At 36.5% G+C, this 20,728-nt stretch overlaps 1 protein-coding gene across 34 annotated transcripts in view, besides 1 other annotated feature; it reads left to right on the top strand.

The window, feature by feature from the left end:
* ANKRD28 (ankyrin repeat domain 28) overlaps window positions 1-20,728 on the top strand; it is a 192,579-nt gene that overhangs the window by 75,455 nt on the left and 96,396 nt on the right. For 32 of the 34 annotated variants that reach the window (XR_007095653.1, NR_146111.1, NR_146112.2 and 29 more), the window contains one exon: window positions 18,048-18,126. Coding sequence is in view for 28 of the 34 variants with exons in the window: in XM_011533542.4 (XP_011531844.1) it covers window positions 18,048-18,126 (79 nt within the window). In the remaining 6 variants the exon portion in view is untranslated. Of the gene's footprint in view, window positions 1-2,704; window positions 2,927-18,047; window positions 18,127-20,728 lie in introns of those variants that run through there. The other 2 variants (NM_001349285.2, NM_001349284.2) reach the window with 1 other exon arrangement.
* Window positions 15,331-15,380: a silencer, noted in NCBI's record as "silent region_14108". NCBI's record gives its function as "represses an Ori minimal core promoter by ATAC-STARR-seq in GM12878 lymphoblastoid cells {active_cell/tissue: GM12878}" and the evidence as "EXISTENCE:reporter gene assay evidence [ECO:0000049][PMID:35858748]".

Here is a 20,728-nt window from a genome sequence, read left to right as displayed (position 1 = left end):
GCTGTCATTCCTTACACTTACATATAAGCATACATGAGCACATATATGTGAGCATTTGTCATTATATTGCTGCCATTATTTTGAACAAACTATTGTCTGTTAGATCAATTCAAATAAAATGTTTTTATTTAACTTACTCCTTCTTTGATGCTCTTCCTTTTTTATGTAGATCTGAGTTTCTGACTATAACATTTTTCTTCTGAGAGAGAAGTTCAGCTGACAAATTCTCTCAATTTTTGTTTGTCTGAGAAAGTATTTATTCTTTACTTTTGAGGCAATTCCCAGGGTACCAGAATTCTAGGTTGGTGGTATTTTTTTTTCTGTCAATGCTTTAAATATTTCTCCGGACTCTTTTCTTGCTTTCATGGCTCCTGAGGCGTAGTCAGACATAATTATTATCTTAGCCCCTGTGTGGGTAAAGTTTTTTCCTCTGGCTACTTTCAGAGTTGTATTTATCTTTGATTTTCTGCAATTTAAATATGATATGCCTTGATATATTTTGGGGGATATTTTTCCTGTTAGTGTTCTCCTGGATCTGTGGTTTGTTATCTGACGTTCATTTGGGGGAAACTCTGAGTCATTATTACTTCAAATATTTCTTCTGCTTTTTTCATTCAGCATAATTATTTTGAGATTCATCTAGGTTGTGGCATGTATTAATAGCTTATTCCTTTCTTTCTGTTGCTGAGTAGTATTCCATTGTAATGATATACAGAATTTGTTTATCCACTCCTTTCGTAAACATTTAGGTGCTTCTCTGTTTCATCTGTTACAATTAAATGTACTGTGAACATGTGTGTACAAGTCCTTGCATGAATGTGTGCTTTTTTTTTCTCTTGTGTAAATGTTTAGTGGTGGAATGGTTGAATATGCTTGTTTAACTTTTTAAGAAACTGACAAACTGTTTCCCAAACTGATTGTATCATTTTACGTTCTCACCAGCAGGATATGAGAATCCTAAATTTTCAACATTCTCACAAATATTTCGTATAATCAGTCTTTTAAAATCTTAAATATTTTAATAATAGTAATATCTCAATTTGGTCTTAATTTGTATTTCTGTAATCTTTTCGTGATCTTGTCAGTCCATTTATCTTTGGTGAAATGTCTTTTCAAATGTTCTTGTGAGTTTTTTTAATTGGATTGTTTTCTTACTCTTGAGTTTTCAGAGTTCTTATTTATATGTTCTGGAAACAAATCCTCGATCTGTGGCTGTATTTTCATTCTCTTAAGAGTGTTTTTGAAAAGCTCAAGTTTTATTTTGATGACATCCACATTTATCAATTCTTTTATGGATCTCGGTTTTGGTGTTGTATCTTAAAAAAAAACTGTCCCATTGTCATGTTGTTTTGCTCATATCTTCTAGAAGTTTTATAGTTTTAAGTTTCACATTTATCAACAAATCCACTGAAAAGGATTTTCTTCCAAAAAGGAAAGAGGCTTTATGCCAGCTAACAGTTTGTACACCAGGAAAATGCAGCCTTCTGTACAAAACAAAGGTGTGTTCTAAGAGAATGAAGAGAAAGTTTGTCTTTTATGGCAAAAGTTCTCGCCCAGGTTCCCACTCTGATCTGCTTGTACAAATGAGGGATGCAAACTCAGTTAGTTCTGATTGTTTGAAACTTGTTGAGTTCTGATGGTTCGGCACAGATCACAGTCTATTGATTGATTCAGGTAGCATACACAGAACAGACAACTATGAAAGTCCCAAAGTTTAGTGAGTATGGCATTTTTCCCTGAACACTCAGTATGTGTGTAACCTCTAATTACCAAATGGCTGCTTGACTGTATTTCAAATTTAGTTCCACTTAGCCACTCAGGATTCCTCTTGAAGGATTGACCCTTTCAGAGTTCACACATTTAAATGTGCTATTTTGACTTAATATTTGTGTATTTGTGTATGATGCAGAGTATATGACAAAGCTTATTAATTTCTCTCACCAATATTTTGTAATTTCATTATAAATGTCTTTTGTCAGATTTATCTGTATTTTATAATTTTTTGTCCTAATGTAAGTGGCATTTTATTTAATTTTAAAATATCCGAATAATTCTGCGCTACTGAAACAAGTTTCTCCTGAGTACTCTACTCCATGCTCCAGGAATTATTAGTTTTCCCTAACTGGCTAGTTGGAACAGAACACTCTGTTCTCTGTGATCCGTCATTCTCGTTGGAGGTGATATCACTCCTAATTGAGAGGAAATAGATTCTTTGTGGGTATGTAGGTATATGAAAAATCTTACATATTCCAATGATTTGTGGCCCTCTAAATGGCCAAAATGCATAACTTAGAAATACAGTGGTATTAAGATTTCATGGGGAATGATTAGGAAAAACTGTCAGAAAAGAGTAGTAAGGAAGAAAAGGTTGAAAAACACTGCTGTTTCTTTCACCAGCTTCAGGTAGTATTCTTACACTCCTTTCCCACTCAGTACTCAGTTGAGTACTAAGGCGAGATTCTGCAGATCTTTGGGAGTCTCTCCATGTACTACTTTCTCCTCTGTTGCTCTGTCCTGAGAATTCCAGCCCCTTTGTTCGCTGCAGACTGTCTCCTAAACTCACAGGGAATTAAAAACAACAACAACAAAACTTTGTATACAGCATTAAGAATTTTATTGATTGAAGCAGCTGACATTCCACTGAATGTTTTCAGACTTAGACATTACATATTTTGTGAAATGGTAATTTTCTTTTATATTCCAGCAGTACTTCTGGAATAGAAATTCTAAACATTAGCCTGCCGAACAACTGGATTGCATTTGATGATTACAATTGTCCAGTCACAGATGGCATCACCTCTACTTTTTATTATTAATATTAGTTTTAATTGCCAAATCATAATTGTATATATTTGTAGAGTACAATGTAATATTTTGGTATATGTATACAATGTGGGATGATTAAATCAAGCTAATATATCCATCACTTCACTTATTGTTTGTGATTTTTTTTTTCCTTCACCTTTTTGTTCCATCCAGACCTGCCCACAATGAGGGCAGATCTTCCCCACTCAGTCCACTGACTCACATGCCAGTCTCCTCCAGAAACATCCTCATGGATTTCTACAGAAATAATGCCATACCAGCTATCTAAGTATCCTTTAATTCAGTCAGATGGACACCTAAAATTAGTCATGACAGGTCCTTTGCCTCTTTTAATCAGGTTGTTTTCTTGCTTTTGAGTTGAGTTTATTATATACTTTGAATATAAATTCTTTATCAAATATACGGTTTGCTAATATATACATGTGATTTTTTTTTTTTCTGTGCAAAAGCTTTTTCATTTAATGCAGTCCCATTTGCCAGTTTTTGTTTTTGTTGCTTGTGCTTTCAGGTCATATCCAAAAAAATATTGCCCAGACCAGTATTGTGGTGCTTCCCCGCCTTGTTTATAGTTTTATAATTTCAGGTCTTATATTTAAGTCTTTAATGTATTTTGAGCTGATTTTTATATATGGTATGAGATAAGGATCCAGTTTCATTCTTCTGCATCTGGATATCCAGTTTTCCTAACATCTTTTATTGAAGAGGCTGTTCTTTCCACATTATGTGTTCTTGGCACCTTTGTCAAAAATCAAGTGACCATAAATGAGTGAATTTATTTCTGGGCTTTCTGTCCTGTTCCATTGGTCACTGTGTCTGTTTTTATGCCAATACTATGCTGTCTTGATTACAGTAGCTTTATAATATATTTTGAAATCAGCAGTGTGATGCCTCCAGCTTTGTTTTTTTCGCTGGTTATTGTTTTTAACTATTCATGGTCTTTTATTGTTTCATATGAATTTAAGGGTTGTTTTTTCTATTTTCTGTGAAAAATTACATTGGAATTTTGATAGGGATTGCACTGAATTTGTGGATTGCTTTGGATAATATGGACATTTTAACAATATTAATTTTTTAGTTCATGAACACAGTATATCTTCTCATTTATTTGTGTTTTCTTCAATTTGTTTTCATTAATGTTTTATAGTTTTTAGTATACAGATCTTTTACCTGTTTGGTTAAATTTTCACCTAAATATGTTACTTTTTTTTGTTGTTGCTATTATAAATGGGATTGTTTTCTTAATTTCCTTTTTAGATAGTTTGTTGTTAGTATACAGAAAGGCTACTGATTTTTTTTGTATGTTGATTTTGTATCTTGCAACTTAATTCATTTGTCAGTTTCAGTCATTTTTTGGTGTCTCTTTAGGGATTTCTCTGTGTAAGATCATGTCTGCAAATAAAATTTCATTTCTTTCTTTTTTATTAGGATGCCTTTTACTTCTTTCTCTTGCCTAATTGTTCTGGCTAGGACTTGCAGCACTATGGTGGATAGGAGTGGTGAGGGTGGGCAGCATTCTTGTCCCTCGTCTTAGAAGAAAGCTTTCAACTTTGTACGTTAAGTGTGATGTTAGCTGTGGGCCTGCCATTTTTGGCCTTTACAGGACCTGTTATTGATGTGTAATTTTAGTGTTTTATTATTCTACAAAAAGCAAGTAAGCCTTAGAAATATCTGATTACTGCTAAATTTGTAGAATGGAATAAATTCAGTACTTAGAATAGGATGCTGTCTGTATTTTTATATATTATTATAGAGCAGTGTCTAGATTACAACATGAATTAATAACTAGATTCTAAAATACCTACAGGGAATTTGTCCTGGGGCAAGAACCATGCCTTCCATATTGTAGGATAGTCAGCACTGGAAAGGGATCTTAAAGATTAAGTAGTTAAATCAACTCCGTTACAGATGAGGCAAAACTAAGGCCCTTGGAATTATTTGATTTGGTTGCTTCCATTTGGTCACTTTCCAAGATCTCAAAGATATCTTAACGCAGTTTTCTTTATGTCAAATTTAGTTTTTTGTCCATATTGTCTGCCCTGGTATGTCACCTCTCAATTCTACCTAGTGGCTTAGCATTATAAGTAATTTCTTTTCTCTTGTAGCTATAAGCATATAAGCTCTTTAGTAAATACTTGCTTGTTTAATTTGATAATATTTGGTATGTTGGTTTATTCACTTGTCTAGTAATATGTGCCAGTTACTATGCTGGTTCCTGTGAAGGCAAGTCCAATCATGCATAATTTCTTCTCCCTGCTTTTTAATGTTATTTCCTTATATCAGATTATCAGTTGTACCTGCATTCTCACCCTCTTCCTTTGCCTCGTCTTAAGCTTTCAGGCTGCAGTTTATGGTAGGCAGACTTTTAAGATGGTCCCCTGTATTATTTCTGGTATTGTAAGCATGATAGGGTATTGTATGAGTTTGTTCTCCCTCTGCTATGAAGAACTACCTGAGACTGGGTAATTTATTAAAAAAGAGGTTTAATTGACTCACAGTTCTGCATGGCTGTGGGGGCCTCAGGAAACTTACAATCATGGCAGAAGGCACCTCTTCACAGGGTGACAGGAGAGAGAATGACTGCCAGCAGGGCAAATGCTACATACTTATACAACCATCAGATCTCCTGAGACTCACTTATTATCATGAGAATAGCATGGGGGAACTGCCCCCCATGATTCATTTACCTCCACCTAGTCCCATCCTTGACACGTAGGGATTATTACAATTTAAGATTAAATTTGGGTAGGGATACAGAGCCAAACCATATCAGGTCTCATTCCTGATTAGTTTATGTCATCTGGCAGAGCACAAAGCTGACTCTAGGTAAGTGAGATTATCTAGATGGGTGTGCCCTAATCACATGAACTCTAAATCTGGGTCTAGAGTTAGGAACAAAGAGAGTAGGAGATTAGACGTATGAGAGGGATTTGATGTGAAGGATATTCTCTCTTGCTGGCTTTGAAGATGGAGGGAGCCATATGGTAAGAACTCAGGCATTCTCTGCTAGTGGAGGGTGACCTCTGGCTGACAACTGGGAAAGGAAAATGGAGGTCTTAGAAGGACAAAGAACTGACCATTTCCTGAATGAGCCAAAAAACAGATTTTTTTTCCTTTAGTCAGGTCTCTAGGTGAGAACACAGCCCATCAACACCTTGATTTCAACTTTGTGTAACCCTCAGCAGAGAACCCAGTCACACCATGCCTGAATTACTGCCCTTAAAACTGTGAACTAAAAGATTATTTGTTTTAAGCTGTTGCACTTTTTTAAAATAGCTACTATTTATCATACTCTGGGTATAAAAACAGGGAATAAACAAGATTCCTATCTCCAGAGTTAGAGCCATTGAACATGAAACAAGTCAATTAATATGATGATTGTTACAAGGGAGACGTTCAGAGTGCTATGGACACCTATTAGGCTGATGTAATACCAGCTGGGAGACCACGAAAGGAGCTCCAGAAAAAAGATACTTATGTATGATACGCATTTTTTATTGCTGCATAACAAATTACTAAGTGTTAGAAGCGAATGAATATAAAGAAAACATAGCCCCTGACTTCAGCAAGTTTATGATCTAAAGGTATTTGGTTATATTATGTGTGGGTATTGACGGGGCTAGGGCGGAGAGGGTGTGTGTGTGTGTGTGTGTGTGTGTGTGTGTGTGTGTGTGTGTGTGTGTGTGTAGTTTGGTTTTGGTGATGGGAGCAGTCAACTGTCCAGGTTGCCCCTCTGAAGTCACTGCTCTGACAGACCATAAACAGAAAACTGCAAATGATAACAAACTTACTATTTCATAAGAGAATACTACCATTCTCCATATTTCGGGTACACATGTGTTTTGTTTCGCCCTTTCTGTTTCAAGTTTATTGAAAAGAAGCCTGTTTAGCTTAATTGTACTTGGGCAGCTGACACTTGACTAGTTCAAAAGATAATAAACTCATCATTTAGAACACATGTGTCTTTGTATATGAGAAATAAATAACAGTTACAAATACTGTAGGTCAAGGTTTCATCATTGGTTTGGAAGATAAATATGTACAGTGAGGGTTTGGGGTTTTATTTACACAGAAACTAGATTACTTCCCCCACACCCTAAGATTGCGTTGCACAGATCTCTGGTAATAAAATTTCTACTTTTATTCCTGATTCCGTGTAGAACCAAATTGATGCTTTGGGGAGGGGGCATGGGTAGATAAAGGATAAGTAGTTTTTTCAGTTTTCAGGTGACTTTTTTCTTTTTTTTCTTTTTTTTTTTTTTTTTGAGACGGAGTCTCGCTCTGTCACCTAGGCTGGTACAGTGGCGCAATCTCAGCTCACTGCAAGCTCTACCTCCCAGGTTCATGCCATTCTCCTGCCTCAATCTCCCGAGTAGCTGGGGCTACAGATGCCCACTGCTAAGCCCAGCTAATTTTTTGTATTTTTGTAGAGATGGGGTTTCACCACGTTAACCAGGATGGTCTCGATCTCCTGACCTTGTGATCCACCCACCTCGGCCTCCCAAAGTGCTGGGATTACAGGTGTGAGCCTCTGCTCCTGGCCCAGGTGACTTTTTTTCATTTTGAACATTAGTTCAGGAGAACAAAACTTCCTAAACCAACAAAAGCAACGACTGTTCTTAGGCTGGAAATATCATTTCAGAGCTTTTGTTTTCTGTCAATTCTTTGATATATTTTACCTCTTAATTCAGATGTGTTTTAATTGATATTTTGGAAGAATGGTTACACTTTCATAACCAACTTTTTCCTCCTCCTTTTAACTTTTTTAAAATTAGGAAATATAATAAACTTATGTAAAACAAATGTACAATTTAATGAATATGTGAATGTCACCACGACCCAGATCAGAAAACAGAACATCATTAGCACCTCAGAAGTGCCCTTGTTGGTGACCACTTTATGATCAAAACTTTCCACCCCACCCCTCAGTGTTACCCGTAAATTTTTATAATAGTCTCTTCTGGTTTTCTTTATAATTTTGCCACCTACTTATTCTTCCCCAAGCAATATAATTTAGTTTTGCATATTTTGAATCAAATGGATCATACAGTATATTTTCTTCGAGTCTGGGTTCTTTTGTGCAATGCTATTTTGTTTTAAAAATTGACCTGATTCCACTGAATGCATCCAACACAGTTTATCCATTCTGCTATTGATGGATAATTGGGTTGTTTCACATTTTTTTTCTATTTTGAATGATGCAGCTATTTGTAAACTTGTCTTCTGATGCACATAAGCGTGCATTTCTATAGTATAAATACTTGGCTATACATATATTCAGCTTTACTTGATAATGTCATATTATTAAATAACTTAAACTTCCATGAGCACTGTGTGAGAATTCTTATTCATCCACATCTTTGGACCACATTCTTGGTTTTTGAAGTATGTAGTGTACGATATGGTAAAGTGTTTATTTGGACATAGTCCAGTTTCCTAGCATACAGCTTCTAAAAAACCCTTGTAATTTCTGGGGTGATAAGTGTCTTTTTTATGCTTATGAGGTGCTATCTGAGCTATTTGAGGCCCCTCAGATAGCTTAAAGATGAGGGCTTGTCACCTGAAAGACCAAAGCATGATTAGAGGGCTTGAACTTTTCAAGCCCCCCACCCCCCAGTCTCTGGAGAAAGAAGAGGGACTGAATGTTGAGTTGGTCACCAGTAGCCAGTTATTTAATCAGTCATGCTTATGTAATGAATCCTCTATAAAAGCCCAAAAGGACTGGGTTCAGGGATTTTCCAGTAGCTGAACATGTGGCAGTTCCTGGAGGGTGGTGCACCCAGAGAGGGAATGGAAGTTGCACGCCCTTCCGTGGAAGCTGTGTGCCTTATACGTCTCTTTCATCTGGCTGTTCATCTGTACCCTTTTTTGTGTTATTAATACATCAGTAAATATAAATAAAGTGTTCCCAGAATTATTTGAGCTCCTCTAGCAAACTAATCAAACCTGAGAAAGAGGTAGTGGGAACCTCAATTTATAGCCAGTTGGTGAGAAGTATAGGTGAAAACCTACTAGTAGGGACTGGCATCTGAAGTAAGGGGCAGTCTTTTGGGACTGAGCACTCACTTTGAGATCTGATGCTATCTTCAGGTAGATAGTGTCAGGATTAAATGGAATTAGAGTACACCCAGCTGGTGTCCTCCGGGGAATTGCTTTATGAGGAAACAACCTCCACACATCAAGTATCAGTTTTGTATTGAGTGGTGTGTGAGTAGAAGGGGAAAAACTGATTTTTCCTCCTACATAGTTGTATGTTGTTATTTTAGCTTGCTTTTTTATGACAGTTTCAGGCACATTTTATATGTTAATTAAGCATGCATATAGCCAGCCTCTTTTATGAAGTACCTGTTAAATCTCCTGGGCCGGGCACAGTGGCTCACGCCTGTAATCCCACCACTTTGGGAGGCCAAGGTGGGTGGATCATTTGAGGTCAGGAGTTCAAGACCAGCCTGGCCAACATGGTGAAACTCCATCTCTACTAAAGATACAAAAGTTAGCCAGGCGTGGTGGTGGGCACCTGTAGTCCCAGCTACTGGGGAGGCTGAGGCAGGAGAATCGCTTGAATCCTGGAGGCAGAGGTTGCAGTGAGCCGAGATTGTGCTGCTGCACTCCAGCCTGGGCAACAGAGTGAGACTCTGTCTGAAAAATAAATACATACATACATAAATAAATCTCCTGCCTACTTTTCTTTTGAGTTGTCTCTTATTAATTTGCAGCGGGTCTTTTTATATTCTGGATATGAGCCCTTTTTGACTTGCGTGTGTTGCAGATATCTTCTCCCATTCAAACTTGTCTTTTCAGAATTCTTTATGGTATAATTAAACATGAGGTCTTAATTTTTTATGCCTTGTTTTTCAGTTTTTTAAAAATAGTTAATGCTTTTGATATCTTGTTTCAGAAGTCTTTCCCTAACTTGAGTTGTAAAGATAATATTCCATATTCATATATGAGTGCTTTTAACATTTTGCTGCTTACATTTAGTTTTATAATATATTTGCAGTTAAATTATACATATAATGTGAGGTAGTGTTTGGGTTTGGTTTTTGTTTTCATTCTTTTCCAAATAGGTACCACATTGTCCCAGCATAATTTAAATGCCCATATTTTGTTGGGTGGTTTTCTTATTTTTGAGTTTTGAGAGTTCTTTATATATTCCGAATTCAAGTTCTCTGTCAGATCTGTGATTTGCAAGTATTTTTTCCCAGTGCATGCTTTGTCTTTTTATCCTCTTAACTATGTCTTTCTCAGTACAAAAGTCTCATTTTGATGAAGTTTAATTCATTAACTTCATGGATTTTGCTTTTGGTATTGCATCTAAGAGCTCTTTACACAACCCACAATTTTCTAAGTTTAATAATTTTAGATTTGGGAAATAGGTCTATGATTCCTTTTAAGTTAATATTCATATTAGGTGTTAGGTATAGATGGAGGTTAATTTTGTGGCATGTGATTATCCAGGACTATTTGTTGAAAAGATTATTTCTACATTGACTTGCCTTTGTACTTTAGTCAAAAATCAATCATATTTGTGTGGGTTTATTTCTAGACTCTGCTCTGGTCATGTCTGCCTTTTTTCTCATACCACCCTCCCTTGATTACTTCACTTTTATAGTAATTATTGCAGTCAAACAGCGTGAGGCCCCCAACTTTGCTGTTCCTCCTAAATTGTTTCTGCCTTTTTAGTTTGTCTTTCTACGTAAATTTTAGCTTTTTAATATCTACAAGAAATCCTGTGAGGATTTTTATTGTGATTGCATTGAATCTATAGATCAAATTGAGGAAAACTGGCATTTTAGCAATAGTGAGTCTTCCAATTCATGAACATGGTCTCTCATCATTTACTTAGGTGTTCTTTGATTTTTTTCTTGCGTGTTTCATAGTTTTCAGCATACAAATCTTGAAATTTTTTTTTTCTTTTTTGACATGGAGTCTTACTCTGTTGCCCAGGCAGGAGTGCAGTCTTGGCTCACTGCAACCTCCATGTCCTGGGTTCAAGCAATTCTCCTGCCTCAGCTTCTCAAGTAACTGGGATTACAGGCGCACACCACCACACCCAGCTAATTTTTGTATTTTTAGTAGAGGCAGGGTTTTGCCATGTTGGCCAGGCTGGTCTTGAATTCTTGACCTCAGGTGATCCGCCCACCTTAGCCTCCCATAGTACTGGGTTTACAGGAGTGAGCCACTGCATCTGGCCCAAATCTTGCAAATTTTTATTAGATTTATGCTTAAGCATTTATTTTCCTTCTTTCTCTTTTTACCTTTTGATGCTATTCTAAATGATACCTTTTTTTTAGTATAACTTTCACTTATTAATTGCTAGTAAGAAATATAGTTGGTTTTGTATATTGACCTTGCATTCAACAACTTTTCTAAACTTAGTCTAGGAATTTTTTTTTTTTTTAGATTCCTTGGGATTTTCTTTATAAATAATATGCCATCTATGACTAGAGATACTTTTCTTTCTTCCCTCTCAATTGATAAGATTTTTTGCTTTTCCTTATTTTACTGACAAGTACTTGGGTAGGAGTGGTGAGAGTAGACATTTTTGCCTCATTCCTATCTCAGAAAAAAACATTCACTCTTTCACCATTAAATTACCTGTCAGCTGTAGATTTTTGTTGTACCCTTTATCGGATTAAGAAAGTTCCCCTCTAAGTTTGCTGAGAGTTTTAAAAATTATGAGCTAGCTGGGCGTGGTTGTATGTGCCTGTAATCTCAGCTACTCAGGAGGCTGAGGCAGGAGAATCGCTTGAACCCGGGAGGTGGAGGTTGCAGTGAGCCGAGATCGCGCCACTGCACGCTAGCCTGGGCAACAGAGGGAGACTCTGCCTCAAAAATAAATGAATAAATAAATAATTTTTTTAAAAATCATGAGTACATGTTGGATTTTGTTAAATGCGATGATTATATGACCTTTCTTTTTATTAGTCTGCTAATATGTTGAATTACACCAGTTGGTTTTAGTTGAATGATACTTGTGATCCCAGAATAAACTCCAGTTGGTCGTGATGTAGTACCCTTTTCAAATATTGCTGAATTCAATTTGCTGATATTTAGTTGAAGATATTTATGTCTCTGTTGATGGGGGATATTCATCTCTGGGTTTTTTTGTTTTTTGTAATTGTCTGGTTTTGGTATCAGGATGATAATGTTGGCTTCATCTTTTTATGTTTTGGGGATTTTATTGATAATCCCCTCTTAGTTATGATACAGACTATTTTTTCCTTTGATCATTCTGACTTGAAGATTACTAATTATATTGATCTTTTCAAAGAATCAGCTTTTGAGTTCACTGATACTCTGTTTTTGTTTTGTTTTCATCTTTATCATTTTCATCCTTCTGCTTTTTTTGCTGGTTATTTTGCCCTTTTTTCTAGTTTAAGTGAAAGCTTAAATTATTGATTTAAGACCTTCTTTTCTGATACAAACATTTAATATATAAATTGCTCTCTATTGCTTTAACTTTATCCCCCAAATTTTAATGTGTTGTATTCATTTTCATTCCATTCAAAATACTTTTCTAATGTTCTTGGAGACTTCCTCTTTACATGGGTTATTTAGAAGTAGTTTTCTACATTTATTCTACTTTACTACTGAAATATGCTTTGAATCCCAAATACTTGGCAATTTTCAAATTGTCAGGTTATCTTTCTGTTATTTATTTCCAATTTAATTTTGTTATGGCCAAAGAACATACTTAGTATGATTTTGCTTTATTTTAATGTGTTAAGGTTTGGTTTTGGCTCAGAATATGGTTTATCTAAATGTTTCAAGTGCTTTTGAAAATAAATGATATCGTTTGGATGTTTGTCCCCTCCAAATCTCATGTTGAAATGTGATCTTCAATCTTGGAGGTGGAGCCTAATGGGAAATGTTTGGATCATGGGGGCAGATCCTTTATAAATGGATTGGTGCCTTCCCAGCAGTAAATGTGAGTGAGTTCTAGCTCTCCTACTTCATGCAACAGCTGGTTGTTTAAAGAGCTTGGCACCCCCTCTTCTCTCTCTTGATCACTCTCTTCACCTTGTGACACCCCTGCTCTCCTTTTGCCTTCTACCACCATTGTAAGCTTCCTGAGGCCCTCATCAGAAGCAGATGCTGGTGCCATGCCTTTTTTTTTTTTTTTTGAGACAGAGTTTTGCTCTGTCACCCAGGCTGCAGTGCAGTGGCGGGATCTCGGCTCACTGCAACCTCCACCTCCCAGGTTCAAGCGATTCTGCTGCCTCAGCCTCCCAAGTAGCTGGGATTACAGGTGCCCGCCACCACGCCTGGCTAATTTTTGTATTTTTAGTAGAGATAGTGTTTCACCATGTTGGCCGGGTTGGTCTCCAACTCCTGTCCTCAGGTGATCCGCCCGCCTGGGCTTCCCAAAGTGCTGGGATTACAGGCACGAGCCACTGCGCCCTGCCTGGTGCCATGCTTCTTATACAGCCTGTACAACCATAAACCAAATAAACCTCTTTTCTTTATAAATAACCCACCCTCAGATATTCCTTTGTAGCAGTGCAAAACAGACTGATACAATGTTCATCCTTTTGTTGCATGCTATAAATTGTACAATAATTTTACACAGTAAATAAGATGTGTTAAGTGCTTTATGCAATGGCTTGCACTAATAAAAATCTTCAGGTTTGCTCTCCTTCTCTAAGACACTCTCACCATTCTACATAGTTACTACAGGAACTGCCATGTTAATCTTCCCCTACTTTCAGTTAATATAGAAGTAAGCATTAAATTTATGAGCAAATTTGGTGAGCACCAAATTAAGCCAATCAGATATTCTTCCGGGAGATTGAATTAAGAGACTTCTCCTTGGGCTGCTGAAGTTCTAAGAGTAAATATCAGGAGTTGGGATGGCTTATTCCCTACCATGAAAAAAAGTGTTCTGTGAAGACAGAAAAAGCAGCTCATGTGCAGAGAAGAAACAGAGACAAAAGTGTTTCAAGTGTTTGATTTCAATTGTTCTTACGACCTAGCCACATGCCTGCCTTTCCTCAATTTTGGTTGTTCAGTGCTCAATTCCATTAGATGCTTCAGTGTCCTTCCTTTAAATCGATTTTGCCTAAACTGGTTTAAGTTAGATTTCTGTACCCAGTAATGCTATCTAATATATATATATATATGTATATATATGTATTCAATACATAGTAATTATTAAGGATGATAATAGAAATGTGGACTATTTATGATTTTTCTTTAAAGTTACATTGCTCTGATAAATGCTAATGATATTTCATATTATAATCTGAAACTTTAAGGTTCCACAGAGGTTTTCAAAGTATTCCTTGGAGGAAGAGGATCATAGCATGCATCTTGGAACTAGTTTTAACAGTTGTTTTACAGTTGTCTGTCAGAGGTAGTTCTAAAATGTGCTTCATTCTCATACCCAAAGTCAATATGGAAGTCTTCTACAACCTATATGGCAAGTGTTCTCCACTAACATAATTTGTTAAATCCTTTCTAGTGCCTATAAGGTACATAACTTTTTTTTTTTTTTTTAAGTTAGACCAAGGCTTTTTCAATGGATGTGGAGTCCACTGACAGGTGTTCAGTGTACTCTTCCTTGCTCAGACCATACTCACAGTGCATTATCTATAACTTCCATTTTGAGTTTCTGTAGCTGATGTGAGAAATTAGACCCTTAAGAAATAATCTTAGGGCAAAACCCCTAAGGTTTTTACTGTTCACTGTTTGCCTTAGTGTTTCCAATTGTCTCAGCCATACCCAATTCAATAGCACTTCCCTTTTTTCAGTAGTTTGCTTTTATTGATTCTTCAGTTGTGGTAACAAACACAGCTTACCCTTGATAAACATACCCCATCATGGGAGCAAAACTGTGTAGGCTTGTTAGTGGTAAACTACTAGTCAGAATATTTAATGTGCCAAAGTCATCTATTAATTTTACTCAGGAAGCCGAGGATATTGGTTAATCTTGTGAGTCAGTTAAATAAAGATTAAGAATTTTTTGTGTTTTATAATTTTAGGTAACCATTTAGTGGGCATTTAAGTTGTTACTAGCATTTTGCCTCCTACAGTGATTCAATAAATATACTTAATCATTTTATCTGGATATGTAGGCTTTTTTTAAAAAAGCCTTAAAATGGAATTACTGTGTCTAAGGGGATCGTCACTTTTTAATTTTAATACATTTTGGTGAAAGAAATCTTAAATATTTTATTACCTAATTTTCAATGTTTAACTGTAGTAAAATATGATATATAAATTCTTTCTTTCAAAATTAGCCAGTTGTATTTCTCCCTTTTCTTCAAATTGATTTGCAGAGAGGAAAAACTGTGTTCATATGAATCATAAAACACATTAATGGGATTCGAGAGGCATTGAGTCATAGAATTCCAGACATCCCTCACACACAGATGACTCACTTTCTGTGTTGTTGTGCTATGTGTGTGGTTTATCTGGTGCAATAGATGTTTCTCAGTTTGACTAAATCTGATCATATTTAAACACTCTAGGAAGTTTGCTGTGTTAATGAGTAACACTGAAAAGCCTAGGCAAAGTATCCTTTCTTTTAAAAAAATGACTAAATTAGGACACATCTTTGCATGTATTCTGTTACTTTAGTGGTTCTGTGTTAGCTCTTTCAACAATTGTTGAATAATTTCTGTGTAGAGCATTCTGTTTCCTGGGGTGGTATATGTTGGAATAAAAAACAAGGTCTTGTGCTAATTGTGGTGAGAGAAAGAACCCTTAGCTTACTGAACAATTTAACATTATTGGCACTATATCAACCTCCCTTTACTGGAACACCTGTTACTATTTTAAGGACAAAAGCAGCATTAAAATTATAGGAAGAAATGTTTGAAGAGACCAGTGATAATTATATGTTACACACATTTGCCCCCCTGCCCCACCGCCGCCCCCCGCCAGAGAAGATCTTGCTCTGTTGCCCAGGCTGGAGTGCAATGGCATGGTCATAGCTCACAGCAGCCTCAAGCTCCTGGACTCAAGCCATCCTACCTCAGCCTGCCGAGTACCTAGGACTACAGGTGCATGCCACCAGCCCAGCTAATTTATTTACTTATTTATTTTTTTGTAGAGATGAGGTCTCACTATATTGCCCAGGCTGATGTAGAACTCCTGGCCTCAAGTGATCCTCCCACCACAGCCTCCCAAATGTTAAGATACGTCTGTATAATAACATCACATACTACAGCTAAGCCTTTTTTGGATTGCCTGTAGATATTTAATCCTTCTTTTGCCTAGCAAGCAGGTTTTTACTTTAATTCTCAATAGCCCAACTATTTTTTCTTAAAGTAATTAAGGGATTCCTAAACAAGAAAATTATTACAAAATGAAGTATAATTTTTCATTTGTTTAAATCTTGAAAACTGTATTAGTATTCTAATATGGTAAGAGGCCCCCCAAATATACTACCTACTTTAAATAAGTTTATTTATCTTAATAGCATGAAAGTCAGTGATCCAAGCTAGTAAGGCAGCTCTTTTCTGTAGGATTATTTATTCCAGATCTTGTTGCTTGACAGTATGCTAGTATATTGGCCTGCATTTCCATGGTCAAAGGGGCTCAGTTTCACATGTGCCTTCCAGCCTGTGGGAAGCAGGAAACAATTAGCCCCTTTCTAGAGTAGTTTTGTTTTTGTTTTTGTTGTTTTGTTTTGTTTTGTTTTGGTGACAGAGTCTCTCTCTGTCATCCAGGCTGGAGTGCAGTGGCGCCATCTCAGCTCACTGCAAGCTCTGCCTCCCGGGTTCATGCTATTCTCCTGCCTCAGCCTCCCAAGTAGCCAGGACTACAGGCACCCGCCACCACGTGCGGCTTTTTTTTTTTTTTTTTTTTTTTTTTTTTTTTTTTTTTTTTAGTAGAGACTAGGTTTCATTGTGTTAGCCAGGATGGTCTCGATCTCCTGACCTCGTGATCCACCCGCCACCTCAGCCTCCCAAAGTGCTGGGATTACAGGCGTGAGCCACTGTGCCCAGCCTAGAGTAGTTGTCTTTTAAGTTGAAGATGACCTGGAAGTTGTGCCCATTATTAATTTCCACTCACATACCATTGGTCCACACCAAGCAACAACTTCAAGGGAGGCCAGGAATGTATTCTCTCACTGGGTGGCTAAGTGACCAGCTAAAATTTTATTCCTGTGGACAAAAGGAAGAACATAGTGGAAAACAACTAACTATCTGTCACAAAAGCCTTTATCAAAAATGAGGGATGTAAGTTTCAATGTGAGTATTTCTGAATAGTTTTTTTCAAATGCAGCCAAGTCAGTAATACTCTGTTGTAACTTTAGATAGGGTATCTATGAATTAAAAATCCCTGAATGTGACATTACTCTAAAATCTTGCATCTTGAACTGGAGAGCACTGTTGTTTTCTGGTAGGAGGTCCATGAAGCATGCATTAGAGGTAGCTTCTTTTCCTGGAGGAAGATTTGGATGAGTATGTATTTTTTATATTGAAACAGACATGAATATATTTTGGAGATGAAAGTAAAACTAGCAGGAATGTTAAGAAAAAACTTAAAATTGCTTTAAAGTATAATGTCGAATCCCCCGAAATATTTTCCCTTTTTGCCCCTAAGGGTACTGTTGTGAAAACATTTTGATAAGCAAATCTTTTGGTTTGTTTAGGTTAACAGTTCTAAACTGTAAAACTGTGGAAATATACTGACGAAAAAATTAGTATGAAGTAAAATTTTCCTATATATATCAGCAGCACAAGCATCTTTATTCAAAGAAAGTGTTGCTATTTCTTTGTCATTTTAGATTTTTATTTTTATTCTTTGCTGGACTTTATACCACTATTTTAAGGTCAAGTATTTTTTTAGGCTTTTGCCTTAGCAAGGAAATACCCTGTGTTTTTGTTTTGTTGTTTTTTTTTGTTTTTAATAGAGACAGGGTCCTGCTCTGTTACCCAGGGTGGAGTACAGTGGTGCAGTCATGGCTCACTGCAGCCTCATTCACTTGCAGGCTCAAGTGATTCTCCTAGCTGGAACTATATGTGCATGCTACCATGCCTGGCTAATTGTTAAAAAAAATTTTGTAGAGACAAGGTCTTGCTGTGTTGCCCGGGCTTGTCACATCCTTTTATTTTATTGGGACTTGCAGACTAGGCTAGAGTTATAGAAGTAATAAGTTGATAGTTAATAATGGTTTGGTGGGGGGAGGGGTTGTTGTTGTGGTTATTAAAACTATTATTAAAATTAATCTTATTTTAAAACTTATTTCCCACCTTTCCTTATTATCACAGGACAATGAAAAGCGAACCCCATTGCACGCCGCAGCTTACCTTGGAGATGCAGAAATCATTGAACTTCTTATTTTATCTGGTATGGTAACCTCTGAGTAATAAGAACACATTATGTATATTTTTGTTATTCTTAATGTTTCTCAATCATAATTGACTATTTACTGCATGGCCTGTTGTTCATATTTGTTTTATCAGCTGAAACTTATTTTTATATTCATTCCATAAATACTGATCACATATCTTTTTCTGGGTGCTTAGAGTACATTAAAGAACAAAACAAAGATTGCTGCCCTCTTGTAGCTTATACTCTGATAAGGAAAAACAAGCAATAAATACAAGTGAATTTTATAGTATATTAAATGATGATGAGTGCTTTGAAAAAATTGAAAGGTAGATCAGGATAATCGGGGTGGGATAAGCATTATATGTAGCGGGTTTTTTTGGTTGGTTTTTTTTTTTTTTTTTGGTTTTTGGTTTTTGAGATGGAGTCTCGCTCTGTTGCCAGGGTATAGTGGCACGATCTCAGCTCACTGCAACCTCCAGCTCCCTGGTTCAAGTGATTATCCTGCCTCAGCCTCCCGAGTAGCTGGGATTACAGGCACATGCCTCCATACCCAGCTAATTTTTGTATTTTTAGTAGAGACGGGGTTTCACCATGTTGGCCAGGATGATCTCGATCTCCTGACCTTGTGATCTGCCTGTCTTGGCCTCCCAAAGTGCTGGGATTACAGGAGTGAGCCACCATGCCCGCCTACATAGGGTATTATATGGAACAGTTATAGTAGGCCTCATTGAGCACAGAATTATAGGAGATGGTTGCAGTTCTCCTAGGTGGAGGTAACGGTGGTTTATAGCAAATACAACAGTGGAGACAGTAAGAAATAGTCTGATAGTAGATATATTTTGAAGGCAATGCCAGTAAGATTTCTGTGTTTAAATAGCTTTTATCTAACCCTACTTGAGGGCTTGTAAAATGCTTTTAGTCAATTATACTCCTTTATTATTTTTTCTAAACTATTTAAGTCTTTATAATATGAAGTAATACTAGAACTGTCTATGATAGAATAGCTCCTATTGTGGTCAGACTACGTGCAGTCCCAAAAAAGGCAAGCAGACAGACAGAGTTTAGAAATACTTTTGTTATAGCCAGATGATTGTAATGATATTTATTGGGAAAGGATATATGTCATTGATTTGAGCTTGTATTGCCAAATTGCATACCTACATGCATAATGAAATTGGATTAGTAGTAGTATTCCTTTGATAGTTTGTGGAAAGGAGGGCTCAGAGGGAGAAATTTTGTGTGAAGATTTCGTTAAATAATAGCCCAGAGTTTTGCCGTTACAAATTCATAAAAATTTAAGAATCAGTTGGATTTTTAAAAAATACCTTATTTCTATATCAGATTTCATGATCATATAAAATTAAATATGGTTAAACATGGACCTGGCTAATATTTTGTTAGCTTCTTTATGAATAATTTCACCGCTGATGTACTTCCCTGAAGATGCCTGTTCCTTATTAATTTTCAGCTAAAATTTACTCAAGATAAGAACTGAGGAGGTTGACAAAATTATTTCTTTTAATAATATAAATTAATGGGACTCAAGTTTATGGAATTTTCTACACAAACATCATCCAAGAAACAGTTTAGGACTGGATAAGAAGTCTACTGCTGCATTTTTTATTTTAACACAGAATTCTGATTATTTTTGTTTTGTCATAAATATTATTTTATATGATTCCACGTGGAGGGTTTGTTTTTTTTTTTCATTTTTTATTTTTACACCCAGGAGAAACTTTTCAAATGCTCAAAGTTGACTTAATCCCTTCCTTTTAAAAGTGAATGTTTGCAACAAGGATTTTTAGTTACTTGTAGAAGGTTGACTTCCTGGTTTCTGTAAGTATGATGGTCAAATGAGTCTTATCATGAGCATGATAGTATCTAGATGTCAGCTGTGAAATAAGCATTTGAGAGAATGCTTAGTTTCTTCTGAATAATCCAAGTACAAATCATGTGTAAAATTAACCATGATACTTGTATAAAAAGCTATTTGAACTTACCTTTAAAAAATACTTTTTTTATTTTTCTTTGAGACAGAATCTCGCTCTGTCGCCCAGGCTGGAGTGCAGTGGCACAATCTCAGCTCAGTGCAACTTCCCGGGTTCAAGCGATTCACCTGCCTCAGCCTCCCGAGTAGCTGGGACTGCAGGTGTGTGGCACCAGGCCTGGCTAATTTTTGTATTTTTAGTAAGAGATGGGGTTTCACCATGTTGGCCAGGCTGGTCTTGAACTCCTGGTCTCAGGTGATTTGCCTGCCTCAGCCTCCGAAAGTGCTGAGATTACAAGTGTGAGGCACTGTGCCCAGCCAAAAAGTACTTTTAATGTTTTATCAGTGTAAAGAGGTAATATAGCTCATGTAGCTATTTTTCAAAGGAAAAATACAATTTTGGATGAATTCAATTGTTCTCAGTTCTCAATAAAAAAAAATTAAGTTTTTACATTGGCCTTAGAGCTGTACATTATCTCCCCACCCCAGATTTCTTCTGACTTGAATTCCTGCTACTCTCTTTTTGTTTGCTCTGCTCTAACCCTACTGGCTGCCTTCTACCTCTGGTTCTTCGCACTGCTGTTTCCTTAGCCTTAAACCTTCTTCAGCCGCTTACACCATGAACCTTTT

The sequence above is a fragment of the Homo sapiens genome, chromosome 3, assembly GCF_000001405.40.
Source record: "Homo sapiens chromosome 3, GRCh38.p14 Primary Assembly".
NCBI classification, from domain to species: Eukaryota; Metazoa; Chordata; class Mammalia; order Primates; family Hominidae; genus Homo; species Homo sapiens.
Note: the sequence above shows the minus strand (reverse complement) of the source record. Positions and strands in the feature narration are given on the sequence as shown.